This window comes from Homo sapiens, chromosome 22 (assembly GCF_000001405.40).
Source record: "Homo sapiens chromosome 22, GRCh38.p14 Primary Assembly".
Classification (NCBI taxonomy): Eukaryota; Metazoa; Chordata; class Mammalia; order Primates; family Hominidae; genus Homo; species Homo sapiens.
Window position 1 is genome coordinate 37,891,462 of NC_000022.11, and position 13,098 is coordinate 37,904,559.

The following is a 13,098-nucleotide window of genomic DNA, read 5'->3' on the forward strand; positions in this document are numbered from 1 at the left end:
TAAAAATGAGATCATTCTGGATTATCCAGGTAGGCACTAAATCCAATGACAAGTGTCATGAGAGACACTGAGGAAAGAGACAGGAGGAGAAGGCCACGTGAAGACAGGCTGATGGAGTTAGCAGGCACAAGCTAAAGAATGTGCGGGGCCACTGGGAGCTGGAAGAGGCAGGGATGGCTTCTCCCCTGGAGCCTCTGGTTTTGGACTCGTGGCTTCTGGAACCGTAAGAGGAGAAATCTCTGTTGTTTAAGTCCCAAGTCTGTGATAGAGCAGCCCCAGGCAGGAATTGAATGCATTGCCTCCTGTGTATCAAGCCATTGGAGGATTCAGGGACAGAAAGCTGGGTCCTTTTCTACGAGCAAACCAGCCAGGCACTGATAGGCAAGGGGGAAGTCGGGACGTGGGAAAAGACCGAATTCCTGTCTTCAGACTCAAATTCTAATGGTTGAAGACAGGTGATAAGCCATATTTAGTGTGTTGGATGGTGGTATGTGTTGTAGAGAAAAATCGAAGGCAGGAGTTTCTATTGTGAATAGGATAGTCAGGGACCACACTGATTGGCGTCATTTGAGCAGAGACCTGAAGACATTAGGAGGGGGATGGTGCAAGTATGTGAGGCAAGAGCTCTCCAGGAAAAAAACTGCAAGTACAAAGGTCCTGAGGCCACAGCATGTTTTATATGTGGAGCAAATGGAGCAAGAAGGCCAGCTGGAGCAGAAGGTAGCAAGGAGGAAGAGGCCAGATCCTGGAATGAGGCTCCAGGTTGTATGTAAGGCCTTGTAGAAGACAGGAAGGACCGACTTTGAATCTCAGTGAGGTGGGAAGCCATCCTTCACCAGAGAGGTTGCAGAACTTGTCCAAGTTCCCAGAGCTAAAGGATGGAGCCAGGATTTTATTTATTTTTTGGGACAAGAGTTTCGCTCTATTACCCAGACTGGAGTGCAGTGGCACAAGCTTGGCGCACTGCAGTGCAACCTCTGCCTCCTGGGCTCAAGTGATCCTCCTGTCTCAGCCTCCAAATTAACTGGGACCACAGGCATACACCACCATGCCCAGCTAATTTTTTATAGTTTTGTTTGTATAGATGGTGTTTTGCCATGTTGCCCAGACTGCTCTTGAACTGAGCTTAAGCAGTCCACCTGCCTTGGCCTCCCAAAATGCTGGGATTATAGGCATGAGCCACTGTGCCCGGGCCCAAAGGAATTTTTAAAAAGCAGCCTCTAGTTATAAGTCCAAACATTTGTAGAGCTCTTGGTAGCTTTCCAAGCCGTCCTTCATCTGTTGCCTTGTTGGAACCGAATGAGTGGCCCAGTGCCAGCCAGGGCTCCTTACCCCCCACTCCCTGGCTACCACATGGTTCCTTGGTGCAGGGAGGTTGCTGTGCATTGATTCCTCCTAAAGAATGTCTCATGCTTTGTCCACTATGCCCTGACATTTGGTGATGGTGGCTTGCAGGAACTCCGACTCAACTGGGCAGCCCCCTGGGTTAATGTGTTTTGAATTCAATGCCAGTTTCATAGTTCATGTCATAGTTCTCTATCATTACAATTATGCCAGGTCCAAGTGTGTTGTCTGACACGGCTCTTGGCACTCTTTTTGCTGTGAGGCCATTGCAGGCACTCTGGGTCACACAGACCCAGTGTGTATGAGTGCCTGGCTTGGGGCCATCTCCCAGCAGCTTGGTCCAGGCTCAGCAGCCAGGCCAGGCAGCTAGCAACCCCTGTGAGGGGGCAGGCACAGCTGGACTCTGCCTGGCACCACTCGCGGAATGCACAGCATTCATCAGCTGTGGCCAGCTCAGGATTTTTATTCCATCAGAGCAGAATAACCAGGTTCATGATCCCCCCCATGCTAAGGAGAGCAAGGGCTTTGTTATCGGGGAATGGGGAGCTCTGGGTGGTACCAGTTTCCAGAAGTTTCTCCACCAGCAAGAGAAGGGGGCAGAGCAAAGTGTGTAGGCTTGGACTTCCTTGGACCCTGGTCTGAGTCCTGACTGCCACATACCAGCTGAGCCAAGTTGCGTAGTTTTCAGTGCCTCACCTTTCTCTAAAATGGGGTTAGCGCCTGCCTCAGAATTGTTCTGTGCACCAAATTATGTAAAGTTCTTAGCAAATCACCTGGCAGTAGTGTGTGATAAGGGGAGGAGGGCCTTACTAAAACACTTGGGTAGAGTGTGTGATAAGGGGAGGGAGGCCATTGTTACCTGGCCATGACCTTGGCCTCCAGAGCCGTAGAGCTATAGATGACTGAGGCAGGTCATGTGTGGAACAGCCCGGCTACTTCCTGGTGGAGCTGGGACTGGAAACCTCCAGACTCCCCCCTGGGGCTCTCTTAACTGCTCCAAGGACCAAAGAGAAGGCCTGTTTAGACAGTGTGGAGGCCCATTCACAGAGGCCAGGGCACTTGTCTAGAGCAGCCAGCCACGGAGGAGCTGGGCCCCACGCACAGTGTCGGCAGCAGGCATGAGGGGAGAATTGGAGAGATTGGGAGGTTGCAGAGGACAGGACTTGGATGTGGCAGCTGAGTGGATGTGGAGGCTGTAGGGAAGTGAGATGCCCAGTTCTCAGGCTGTCTGAGATGGGGGTTGGTGGCTGGAGCAGGTTTGGGACTGGAGGAGGTAAGTGCAAGTGGGTAAGGAACAGGAGTTTGAGGAGCCTGTGGGACGTCCAGGTGGAGGTGCCCAGGGCCTAACAATTTGGGCAGAGGCAATGAACAGCTGGGGCTGGAACCCTGGTCTCCAGGCCCCTAGGCTAGAGCTGGTTCCTCCTCAGACAAGTCCCTGGTGGGCTTGGCACACTTATTCTTTTTTTTTTTTTTTTTTTTTTGAGATGGAGTTTTGTCCCTGTTGCGCAGGCTGGAGTGCAATATCATGATCTCAGCTCACTGCAACGTCCACCTCCCAGGTTCAAGCGATTCTCCTGCCTCAGCCTCCTGAGTAGCTGGGATTACAGGTGCCTGCCACCATGCCTGGCTAATTTTTGTATTTTTAGTAGAGACGGGGTTTTGCCATGTTGGCCAGGCTGGTCTTGAACTCCTGATCTCAGGTGATCTGCCTGCCTTGGCCTCCTGAAGTGCTGGGATTACAGGTGTGAGCCACTGCGCCCAGCCTGGGCTTGGCACACTTCTTTCCACACAGTCCCCCTCTCTGCATCCTTCTCCTACACTGGATTGTGAGTCCAAGTTGGGGGCGTGGGGTGCTTTTCCTCCTATGATCGCCTTGACCATAGGTGGCTCCGGATGGCTTCATCTTCTAAATGAGGCAGTGGGACTAGCCGCTGTCTGGGGGCTGCAGCCCTGCATTCTAGAATTCTGGGTGACATCCTAAGGATCTAAATGGATCTAATAGGAGGAAAGAGGCAGCACTTGGGAGCAATGACCCTTTCGGTAAAGCGATTCTGTTGAATGAATGGTGAATGCAAGAGGAAGTAAGTGAATAAGGATTGAATGCAACAATATCAGTATAGGAATAAGGCTGGAGTGTGCCTTAAATCCTGTCTGGAATGTAGCGGCACAGATGAATTGATGAATGGATGTACTCTCCAGCCCAGCCTTTAGCCAGGGAAAGCCGTGGTGCCCACGCTGGCTCTTGCTAACAGTGGCCTCCCGTCCCCACCCCCAGCCTGCCCTGCAGACTGGATATAGGCTGGAGTGGCTGTGGCCCGGGTCAGGAACTGGCCTCCAATGTGGGGGAAGGGCATCAAGAAGAAGCTGAGAGGGAGGCAAGGGAAAGGTCCAAAGCCTGATCAGCAAGTTCCTGAGATTTTCCCGAAGGAGAGGGCTAGGGGAAGCAGCAACTTGTCTTGGTTCCTGTGGCTCCACATTCCTGTCAAGCCTGCAGCTGAAAGACCTGGCTTTTCTTTCTTTCTGGCCCCACCCTGCCCCTATCCAGCCACTTGATTAAGATCAAGTTATCTCCTTCACGCCCTGACTCCCACCCCTACTTTCTTACCTGGGGCCAGTGGATCCTGAGAGGGTGGACTTCACTCTCTAGTCATGGTTGGGAAGTGGAAGGGAGTCTAGGTTCAAACCCTGACGCTGCCCCTTGAAACTGGAAAATTCCAGGCACTTGGCTTAACTTCTCTGAGCCTCTGCTTTGTCATAGTCAAATGAGGAGAGTAATTCTCCCCTATCTAGGTCTTTCTAAGTGTCAACATAGGCCTGGCACAGTGGCTCATGCCTGTAATCCCAACACCTTGGGAGGCTGAGGTGGGAGGATTGCTTAGGCCTAGGAGTTTGAGACCAGCCTGGACAAGATAACGAGACCCTGTCTCTACAAAAATAAAAATAAAAAAATGAGGGCTGGGCGCAATGGCTCACACCTGTAATCCCAGCACTTTGGGAGGCCGAGGTGGGCAGATCACGAGGTCAGGAGATCAAGACCATCCTGGCTAACACAGTGAAACCCCGTCTCTACTAAAAATACAAAAAAATTAGCCAGGCATGGTGGCAGGCGCCTGTAGTCCCAGCTACTAGGGAGGCTGAGGCAGGAGAATGGCGTGAACCTGGGAGGCAGAGCTTACAGTGAGCCGAGATGGCGCCACTGCACTCCAGCCTGGGCAACAGAGCGAGACTCTGTCCTAAAAAAATAAATTAATTAAATTAAATTAAAAAATTAGCCAGGCGTGGTGGTGCATGCCTATAGTCCTTGCCACTTGGGAATCTAAGTCGGGAGGATTGCTTGAGCCGAGTTCAAAGTTACAGTGAGCTATGATCACACCACTGTACTCCAGCCTGAGCGACAGAGCAAGACCCTGTCCCTAAACAATACATAAATCCGAGCATAGTGAACTCGGGTATGATATAGGTGTTTGGGATGACTCATATCCATCCCGGGTGTATTGTATCACCTGGGGATAAGTTGTGCCCTGTCTAACCCCTGCTCTATTTAGAGGAAAGAGCAGCTCACTCCCAGAATTTCAACACAAGCCTCACTTTCTGTTTCTAACAGGAAGAGCTGCCTGGCTCACAACACCATATACATATGACCTCAGGTAGCTGGGAGACAAACAGGCCTCTTCCGGTGTCTGACAGCCCCTTCCTTGCCACTCAGGCCTCAGAGGAGAGGCTACCTTCCTGTGTCAGGAAGGCTCAGAAACTGTTTCCCACTCTGCCTGCCTTTGCCTGCAGAGCAGGCCAGATTGATACTGAGGGGGTAGTAGGGAGGGCTCTAGCTCCCCCACCCCAAATAATCTGGCACCCCCTAAACCTACAGCCAAATCATAAGCAGTGGGCTTAACCTACAGCCAAATCATAAACAATGGGCTTGCTATGCAGACCAAATTCTAAGTCAAGTAAAATAAAAGTCAGGACTCAGCCTAGCTGTTTGTTGTTGTCATTGTTGTTGTTGTTTTGCCCAGGCTGGAGTGAAGTGGTGCAATCTCGGCTCACTGCAACCTCTGTTCCCTAGATTCAAGCAATTCAGCCTCCCGAATAGCTAGCTAGGATTATAGGCTCTAGTCTCCTTCCCTTTCTTCCTGCCAAATTTCTGCCCCTGAGCTCCTCCTATAGAGTGACAGGAGCCCAACTATTAGGGCCTTGAATACTACATTAGCACCCAAACATCAATCCTGCTGGCCTGCTGGAAAAATCCCAGCACCAATAATAATTGAAGTTGAAGGGGAGATGGGAAGTTCCTAGACAGCAAAGGCTGGAGGCCTTGGGAGCTTTCTGTCCTGAAATGGCCTTTGGTATCGTGGATCAAGGCCTCAGTGCAGCCAGGGTCTGCAGAGGCTGTGGAGCTGGGGCTCCCAGCGGGGTTCTTGCTCACCAAACTCACAGGAAGATAACGAATGAATTTACAGTGAAAACCAGGCATGCAGTGGTAAACTGGACACAATGCCTGCCTCCATACACCAGAAGAAAGTTCTTTGTAAAGTCAGAAAGAGCTAGGCTGAGGCCAGAGCTAGGCTCACGCCTGTAATCCCAGCACTTTGGGAGGCTGAGGTGGGTGAATCACCGGAGGTCAGGAGTTCTAGGCCAGCCTGGCCGACATGGCGAAACCCCATCTCTACTAAAAATACAAAAATTAGCGACGTGGTGGTAGGCGCCTATAATCCCAGCTAGCTACTCAGGAGGCTGAATCGCTTGAATCCAGGGGGCGGAGGTTGCAGTGAGCAGAGATCACACCACTTCACTCCAGCCTGGGCAACAAAAAAAAAAAAAAAAAAAATAGCTAGGCTGAGTCCTGACTGCACTTTTTGTTGTTGTTGTTGTTGTTAGCTATGTTCATATTATATTCATTTTATTTTACTTTTATTTTTATTTTTCAAGTGTGACTGCAAGTTTTGACAGCTGTGTGGCTTTGAACATGCTTGTTGAACCCTCAGAGCCTTGTCCTCATCAGTAAATGGGGATAATGAGATAGCTCCTAGCTCACAGAATTGTGAGGATTCAATATGGTAATGTACCTTAACAACAAAAACAACACACAAACACACACATGATGTCTAGAGTGTGGTTAGTGCTCATAAAGTTACATAACTGTATCATTAATGATGTCACAATCCAATGAAGAGAGACAGGTATGCACAAATACATGCCATACAATGTGAGCAACAGTTCAAATGCCACCTCCTACATGTAGCCCTCTGGGCTGTCTCTCAGTCCCTGGCAGGAGGTGACAGGCTCCTTCTGGAAGCCCTATAGCATTCGGCCCCTCTCTCCATCACATCCCTACCCTTGTCTTTCTGTGACTGTTCGTTGTGATTGTTTATAGAGCTTCTTCCACACTGGTCTGCCAGTAGTAGACATGTGGAAATTCCTCTGTAAATTAGCAAGCACATCCCCTCTAGGTCCCCTCTAAGGGTGGGATTCTGTGAGAAGATCTGAAGTTGTGGCTTCTGTCTGGGCCCATCACAGAAGGCTTCAGGGAGGGGATGATGTCTGAGCTAGGTCATAAAGCCTGTGGACAATTTGGAACAGCAGCAGTAGCCATTTCAAGAGCAGTCAAAAGGGGAGAGAGCCTGGCAGGCTGAGACCTCAGCAAGCAGCCAGAAGCATAGAGAGTGTGGGGCAGCTGGATGGGGGGCCCTGCTCCCCTCCTAAGAGTCTCTACAACCTGGAGCAAACACCTCTGCTCTCTGGGCTCCAGTCTCTCCTCTCAGTGTACTGAGAGGGCTTTGCTAGATAAGGGTCCCTGCCAGTTTGGATATTTCAGTGGCTTCTTTGACCTGCCCCCTCGTGGAGCCCCAGACAAGTGTGAGGGTTTCCCAGCTCAGACAGCACCCGCCCAGTGAGAGCCAGCACATGTCCTCTCTGTTCTGGAGGGTTTAGTTGGAGGATAGTTCAGTTTTGGGGTAGGGAGGCAAGACCACTTGCCCAGTCCCAGGTGTATTTTCCAGAATGTGTATCTGCCAGGGCAGGATGGTCTATGAACAAAGGCTTGGAATAGCTGTCTGTCCTCAGGCATAGCTGGGATTCCAGAAGACCCAGGCCTCACCCAGGCGGGCAGGGGCGGGGCTCAGGGTACCGTCCTGGCATGTTCTAGGCATGCCTCTGGCCCAGCAAGGAGGGAACACGGTGAAGCAACTGCCACTCCAGCGACCAGCGCCTTCCACTGCCCCAGGCCCCAGCTCCAGAGGTCCCACAATGCTTCCATTGTCCACTGCTCTGCCCGGCTGCCCCCCAGGGAGCAGCTCAGAGCCAAGAACCTGGGCAGGGCCCTGATTCCTGGGGCACAGACTGGGTAGAAGAGAGAAGAGCAGAGTGGTCAGATTCACAGAAAACAGCCATGGAACTTGGAGAATTCCACCCTAAGAATCCTAGAATCGGCTGGGCAGGGTGGCTTATGCCTATAATCCCAATATTTTGGGAAGCCAAGGCATGTGGATCATGAGGTCAGGAGTTCAAGACCAGCCTGGCCAACATGGTGAAACCCCGTCTCTACTAAAAATACAAAAATTAGCCAGACGTAGTGACGAGTGCCTGTAATCCCAGCTACTTAGGAGGCTGAGGCAGGAGAATCACTTGAACCCAGGAGGTGGAGGTTGCAGTGAGCTGAGATATGCCATTGCACTCTAGCCTGGGTAACAGAGTGAGACTCTGTCTCAGAAAAACAAAAAACAAAAAACCCCACAATGTATTGTCATTAACAATAGTCACCATAGGCAGGGTGCCGTGGCTCACGCCTGTAATCCCAGCACTTTGGGAGGCCAAGGCAGGTGGATCACGATGTTAGGAGATCGAGATCATCCTGGCTAACATGGTGAAACCCCGCCTCTACTAAAAATACAAAAAAATTAGCCGGGCAAGGTGGTGTGCGCCTGTATTCCCAGCTGCTGGGGAGGTTGAGGCAGGAGAATGGCATGAACCCGGGAGGCAGAGCTTGCAGTGAGCCGAGTTCGCACCACTGCACTACAGCCTGGGCGACAAAGCAAGACTCCATCTCAAACAAACAAACAAACAAACAATAGTCACCACATTGTACAATAGATCCTTTGAACTTATTCCTCCTATCTAACTGAAATTTTGCACCCTTTGACCAACATCTCCCCAACCACTCCCCCTACCCACCAGCCCCTGGTAACTACCATTCTACTAGCTATTTCTTTCTTTTCTTTTCTTTTTTTTTTTTTGAGACAGGGTCTTAATCCATCACCCAGGCTTGAGTGCAGTGGTGCAATCACAGCTCACTGAAACCTCCACCTCCCTGGCTCAAGCGATCCTCCTGCCTCAGCCTCCCAAGTAGCTGGGATTACAGGTATGAGCCACCACACCAGGCCTCTACTCTCTATTTCTATGAGATCAACTTTTTTAGATTCCATGGGTGAAAAAAATAATTTTTTTCTTTTTTGAGACGGAGTCTTAAAATGTTTCTCAGCACACTGGATCCAAAGTAAGGATGATGAGATTCTATGTTGGGAAAACATTTAAACCTTGGCCTTTTTTTTTTTTCGAGATGGAGTTTCGCTCTTGTTGCCCAGGATGGAGTGCCATGGCGCATCTCAGCTCACTGTAACCTCCACCTCCCGGGTTCAAGCGATTCTCCTGCCTCAACCTCCTGAGTAGCTGGGATTACAGGCATTTGCAACCATGCCTGGCTAATTTTGCATTTTTAATAGAGATGGGATTTCACCATGTTGGCCAGGCTGGTCTCGAACTCCTGACCTCAGGTGATCTGCCCACCTCGGCCTCCCAAACTGCTGGGATTACAAGGTGTAAGCCACCGTGCCGGCCTGTTTTTATTTTTTTTGTTGTTGTTTTGTTTTGTTTTTGAGACGGAGTTTCACTCTATCACCAAGGCTGGAGTGCAGTGGCACCATCTTGACTCACTGCAACGTCTCCCTTCTGAGTTCGAGCAATTCTCCTGCCTCAGCCTCCAGAGTAGCTGGGCTTACAGGCGCCCGCCACCACCCCTGGCTAATTTTTTTTTTATTTTATTTTTTGAGATGGAGTCTTGCTCTGTCGCCCAGGCTGGAGTGCAGTGGCACGATCTTGGCGCACTGCAAGCTCTGCCTCCCGGGTTCACGCCATTCTCCTGCCTCAGCCTTCTGAGTAGCTGGGACTACAGGCGCCCGCCACCATGCTCGGCCAATTTTTGTATTTGTTTTAGTAGAGACGGGGTTTAACCATGTTAGCCAGGATGGTCTCAATCTCCTGACCTCATGATCTGCCCACCTCGGCCTCCCAAAGTGCTGGGATTACAGGCATGAGCCACCACGTCTGGCCTAATTTTTGTATTTTTAGCAGAGATGGGGTTTCACCATGTTGGCCAGGCTGGTCTTGAACTCCTGACCTCAAATGATCTGCCCGCCTCAGCCTCCCAAAGTGCTGGGATTACAGGCGTGAGCCACTGCACCCGGCCAAGTTCTTGTTTTTAATCTTGCTTTTGTACCTCCCTCCTGCAAAGCCATGCTACAAAGCCTGTTGGCTGGAAGAATGGTGTGTGGAGAAACACGACCGTCTGCCTCAAACTGTCAAGGGCTTCCTTTGGGTTCCCGTGGTTCCTCTGGTTTCCTTTTCCCCGCCTTTATTAGGCTACAGGCAGAATTGTTTATGGAACTGTTTCCTTCCCTGGCCTAGCCAGTCCTTCCCTGCCAGGATCCTGCCCCATGGCTAGACACCTGCAGCTGTTACCTGGGAAGAAATCAGAAAGGATTCAGCCAGATGCAGGGGCTTGTGCATATAACTTCAGCATTTTGCGAGGCCAAAGCAGGTGGATTGCTTGAGTCCAGGAGTTCAAGATCAGCCTGGGCAACATAGTGAGACTCCCGTCTCTACAAAAAATAAACAAAATTATCTGGGTGTGGTGGTGCATGCCTGTTAGTGCCAACTGCTCGGGAAGCTGAGGTGGGAGGATCGCTTGACTCCAGGAGGTGGAGGCTGCAGTGAGCCGTGATTGTGCCAGTGCACCCAGCCTGGGAGACAAAGTGAAACCCTGTCTCAAAAAAAGAGAGAAAGGATTCAAACTCTACCTATACTGACAGCTCTCACCTGTTTGCATTCAGCTTGCTTCCCTGGGAGTTAGGTGTTCTTCAGCCTAAATGATGTTACCATCTCAAAGAGGTGTTCCCTGGCTATGCTATCTGTCCCCATCATTCTCTGTCACAGCACCAGTCACCACCTGAGGTTCTCCTTGTTTTTGTTTTGTTTTGTTTTGAGACAGGGTCTCACTCTGTTGCCCAGACTGGAGGACAATGGCACGATCTTGGCTCACTGCAACCTCCGCCTCCCCAGGCTCAAGTGATTCTCCTGTCTCAGCCTCCCGAGTAGCTGGAATTACAGGCACACACCACACCCAGCTAATTTTTGTATTTTTAGTAGAGATGGGGTTTCACCATGTTGACCAGGCTGGTTTCAAACTACTGACCTCAAATGATCCACCCGCCTCAGCCTCCCAAAGTGCTGGGATTACAGGCGTGAGCCACTGCGCCCAGCCTGTTTTTTGTTTTTTGTGTTTTTTGAGACAGAGTCTCACTTTGTCGCCCAGACTGGAGGGCAGTGGCGCAGTGTCAGTTCACTGCAACCTCTCCTCCCTGGTGCAAGCAATTCTCCTGCCTCAGCCTCCTGAGTAGCTGGGATTACAGGTGTGTGCCACCACACCTGGCTAATTTTTGTATTTTTAGTAAAGACGGATTTTCACCATGTGGGCCAGGCTGGTCTTGAATTCCTGACCTCAAGTGATCCACCTGCTTCAGCCTCCCGAAGTGCTGGGATTACAGGGTGTGCCACTGTGCCCGGCCTCCTTGTTGTTTACTTGTTTACAGCTCCTGGCCCCCAACAGGTGCTCAGTAAATATTGTTGAATCCATGCTTGACTATAAATGTGTGAACAAGGTGTGGAAGGCTGTTTCACACCGACAACTGCAGCTACTTCTTAGGAGGGGACTAGAGTTGAAGGAGACAGTCAAACTGGAACTTTAGATTTATTTTTAAATTTTTGATAAGAATGATGTATTCAGGCTGGGCATGGTGGCTCATGCCTGTAATCCCAGCACTTTGGGAGGCTGAGGTGGGCACATCACTTAAACTCAGGAGTTTGAGATCAGCCTGGCCAACATGGCGAAACTGTGTCTCTACTAAAAATACAAAAATTAGCTGAGCTTGGTGGCCCATGCCTATAATCCCAGCTACTAGGGAGGCTGAGGCAGGAGAATCACTTGAACCTGGGAGATGAAAGTTGCAGTGAACCGAGATCGTGCCACTGCACTCCAGCCTGGGCGAGAGAGACTCGTCTCAAAAAAAGACAGGGTCTCCCTATATTGCCCAGGCTGGTTTAGTCTTGAACTCCTGGCCTTGGCTCCCAAAGTGTTGGGATTACAGGCATGAGCCACCGTGCCTGGCCCCATTTCTTAATTGATAGTTAAAAATAAAACAAAACAGCACTGAATTAAGGGCCCAAGTCTCTCAATTCTAATCCCGAAATTATAGCATGATTTTGGGCAAGTGCCCTACTCACCTATCTCTGTGGCTTCTGATCTCACCTGTAAACACACAGACCCACCTTCCACCTGAACCCTGGATTTACAGTCTGCACAGCATTTTCTCATCCATTATCTCACCTTGTTACCCACAACCCTGGGATTCAGGCAAAGCAAGTATTATCATCCTCATTTTATAGGGTAAGAAATTGGGGTTCATGAGGGTGAGTTGTCTGGCCTGCGGTCACACACTGTGGTCGTACAGGTCCTTACTTCGAAACATTGTGAGCTGACTCAGATAATGAGTTTATAAAGCCCACAAATGGCTAATGGGGGTGACCAGGCTGTGCTGTGTAAGCTATTAGTATGGCAACAGGATCAGATATGGAGCTGTCTTCAGGGACCTAAAGGGAGCCCTTTAGGCTAGTGAGGACAGGGCTATAATCCCTCCTGGTTTCTTTTGTTTGTTTTTGGTTTTTTGTTTTTTAAATGGAATCTCACTCTGTTGCCCAGGCTGGAGTGCAGTGGTGCGATCTCAGCTCACTGCGTCCTCCACCTCCCGGGTTCAAGCCATTCTCCTGCTGGGATTACAGGTGTGTGCCACCACGCCCAGCTAATTTTTTGTATTTTTAGTAGAGATGAGGTTTCACCGTGTTAGCCAGGCTGGTCTCGATCTCCTGACCTCGTGATCTGCCTGCCTTGGCCTCCCAAAGTGCTGGGATTACAGGCGTGAGCCAAAAAAACCCACCATCTTTGAGATGGAGTCTCGCTGTGTCCCCCAGGTTGGAGTACAGTGGCGTGATCTTGGCTCACTGCAACCTCCGCCTCCCAGGTTCAAGCGATTGTCCTGCCTCAGCCTCTCGAGTAGCTGGGACTATAGGCACGTGCCACCACGCCTGGCTAATTTTTTTATTTTTAGTAGACACGGGCTTTCACCATCTTAGCCAGGCTGGTCTTGAACTCCTGACCTCATGATCCGCCCACCTTGGCCTCCCAAAGTGCTGGGATTACAGTGAGCCACCGCGCCTGGCCCAATTTTTTGTATTTTTAGTACAGACGGGGTTTCACTATGTTGGCCAGGCTGTTCTCAAGCTCTTGACCTCAGGTGATCCACCTGCCTCGGCCTCCCAAAATGCTGGGATTACAGGTATGAGCCATGGTGCCCAACCCCGCCCCCCTTAGGTTTTAATGAGAGTCCTGGGTGGTCTTTGAAGGCCTAGGTGGATGCTGGTGTCAGGATC

The 13,098-nt window shown here is 50.5% G+C and overlaps 2 annotated features.

The window, feature by feature from the left end:
* Nucleotides 3,136-3,780: an enhancer, noted in NCBI's record as "H3K27ac-H3K4me1 hESC enhancer chr22:38290604-38291248 (GRCh37/hg19 assembly coordinates)". NCBI's record gives its function as "activates a minimal SCP1, AML or CMV promoter by ChIP-STARR-seq in primed H9 embryonic stem cells {active_cell/tissue: H9 hESC(primed)}" and the evidence as "EXISTENCE:reporter gene assay evidence [ECO:0000049][PMID:30033119]".
* Nucleotides 7,302-8,068: an enhancer, noted in NCBI's record as "H3K27ac-H3K4me1 hESC enhancer chr22:38294770-38295536 (GRCh37/hg19 assembly coordinates)". NCBI's record gives its function as "activates a minimal SCP1, AML or CMV promoter by ChIP-STARR-seq in naive H9 embryonic stem cells {active_cell/tissue: H9 hESC(naive)}" and the evidence as "EXISTENCE:reporter gene assay evidence [ECO:0000049][PMID:30033119]".